A 1,409-nucleotide genomic window follows, 5' to 3' on the forward strand; every position below is an offset into this window, starting at 1 on the left:
AATATATAGGCATATATATTTTTTCATTACTTTCTCTATGGATTTGACATGTAAATATTATCTTTTTGTTTGTTTCAACATTAGCATAATTAAGTAACGATAATTTAAAATTCAATTCTATAATTTTTAGTATTTGTTTTGCACCACAAAATAATAAAAATCTTAGCATGATTTTCCCATATAACAGTCTACAACATGTCCATATCTTGTGATTTTAGTTAAGAATTTTGATTTCCCTACTTTTAAAACACAAAATTAGTATTTATACAGTGTAGTTAATTAAATTTACTAGGTTATTTAATCAAATTTACTGCTCTTTTGTTTTCATTTCTTGTGATAATTTTATGCATCTTCTAGACTGCTTTAAGGGATGCCTATGGCTGGCAAAACATGGTTTCTGGATAAGGGTGTTTCCAGAAGAGATTAGCATTTGAATCACTGGAGTAAATAAGGGAGATCTACCATCAATAAGGTGGGTGGGCATCATCTAATCTGTTAAGGATCCACCTGAATAGAACAAAAAGGTGAAGGCAGTGAAAACTCTGGCTTTCTCCTTCAGCTAGGACATTCCCTTTCCCTTGGACATTGAAGCTTCTGGTTTCCTTGGAACTCTACTGGGACATACAAACCACTTTCCTGTGAACTCCACCATCTTTGGCCTCAAACTAGGAGTTAAACCATCAGCTCCCCTGGTTCTCAGGCCTTTGGACTTGGACTGCATTACACCACCGGCTTTCCTGGTTCTCCAGCTTGCACATAGCACATAACGGGACATCTTGGTCTCCATAATCATGTGGGCCTATTTCCATAATAAATTTCCTCTTACATATGTGTGTGTGTGTGTATACATACATACATATATATATATACACACATATGTTCTGTTGTATAGCTATATACACACATATATATGTGTCGTATATTCATGTATGTGTGTATGTGTGTTTATATGTATATATATAAAATATCCTGTTGGTTTTGTTTATCCTGACTAATATTCTGACTTACCTCCTTTTTCACTATTCCTTTGATATAGTTCATGGATAAATTTTCTTTTGGAGAATAACTACTGGGTAAAAGATCTTAGATGTTATATGTCAGAAAACATTTCTATTTTGCCTTCACTCTTGAATAACATTTTAGTTAAGTATAAATTCTATGTTGATAGTTTTCTTTTTCTCCCTTCCATCTTTCCTTGAATATAATTATTCCGTATAATTTTGAAGTACACTGTTGCAGATGAGAAGTCTACCTTCTATCTGACTGTCATTTGTATATAATTTTTTGTTTGGCTCTGGTAGATTTCAGGATTGTCACTTTTTCCTTCATGTTCTTGTAGGGACAGAAAGGTGCAATACCTTTCCTTGCCCATCAGAAGGATCATAGCCCACACTCCTATGATAAAAGAC

General features: G+C 33.6%; 1 annotated feature.

Moving 5' to 3' along the window:
- Nucleotides 241-754: an enhancer, noted in NCBI's record as "NANOG hESC enhancer chr6:129057924-129058437 (GRCh37/hg19 assembly coordinates)". NCBI's record gives its function as "activates a minimal SCP1, AML or CMV promoter by ChIP-STARR-seq in naive H9 embryonic stem cells {active_cell/tissue: H9 hESC(naive)}" and the evidence as "EXISTENCE:reporter gene assay evidence [ECO:0000049][PMID:30033119]".

Source organism: Homo sapiens, chromosome 6 (assembly GCF_000001405.40).
Source record: "Homo sapiens chromosome 6, GRCh38.p14 Primary Assembly".
Taxonomy (NCBI): domain Eukaryota; kingdom Metazoa; phylum Chordata; class Mammalia; order Primates; family Hominidae; genus Homo; species Homo sapiens.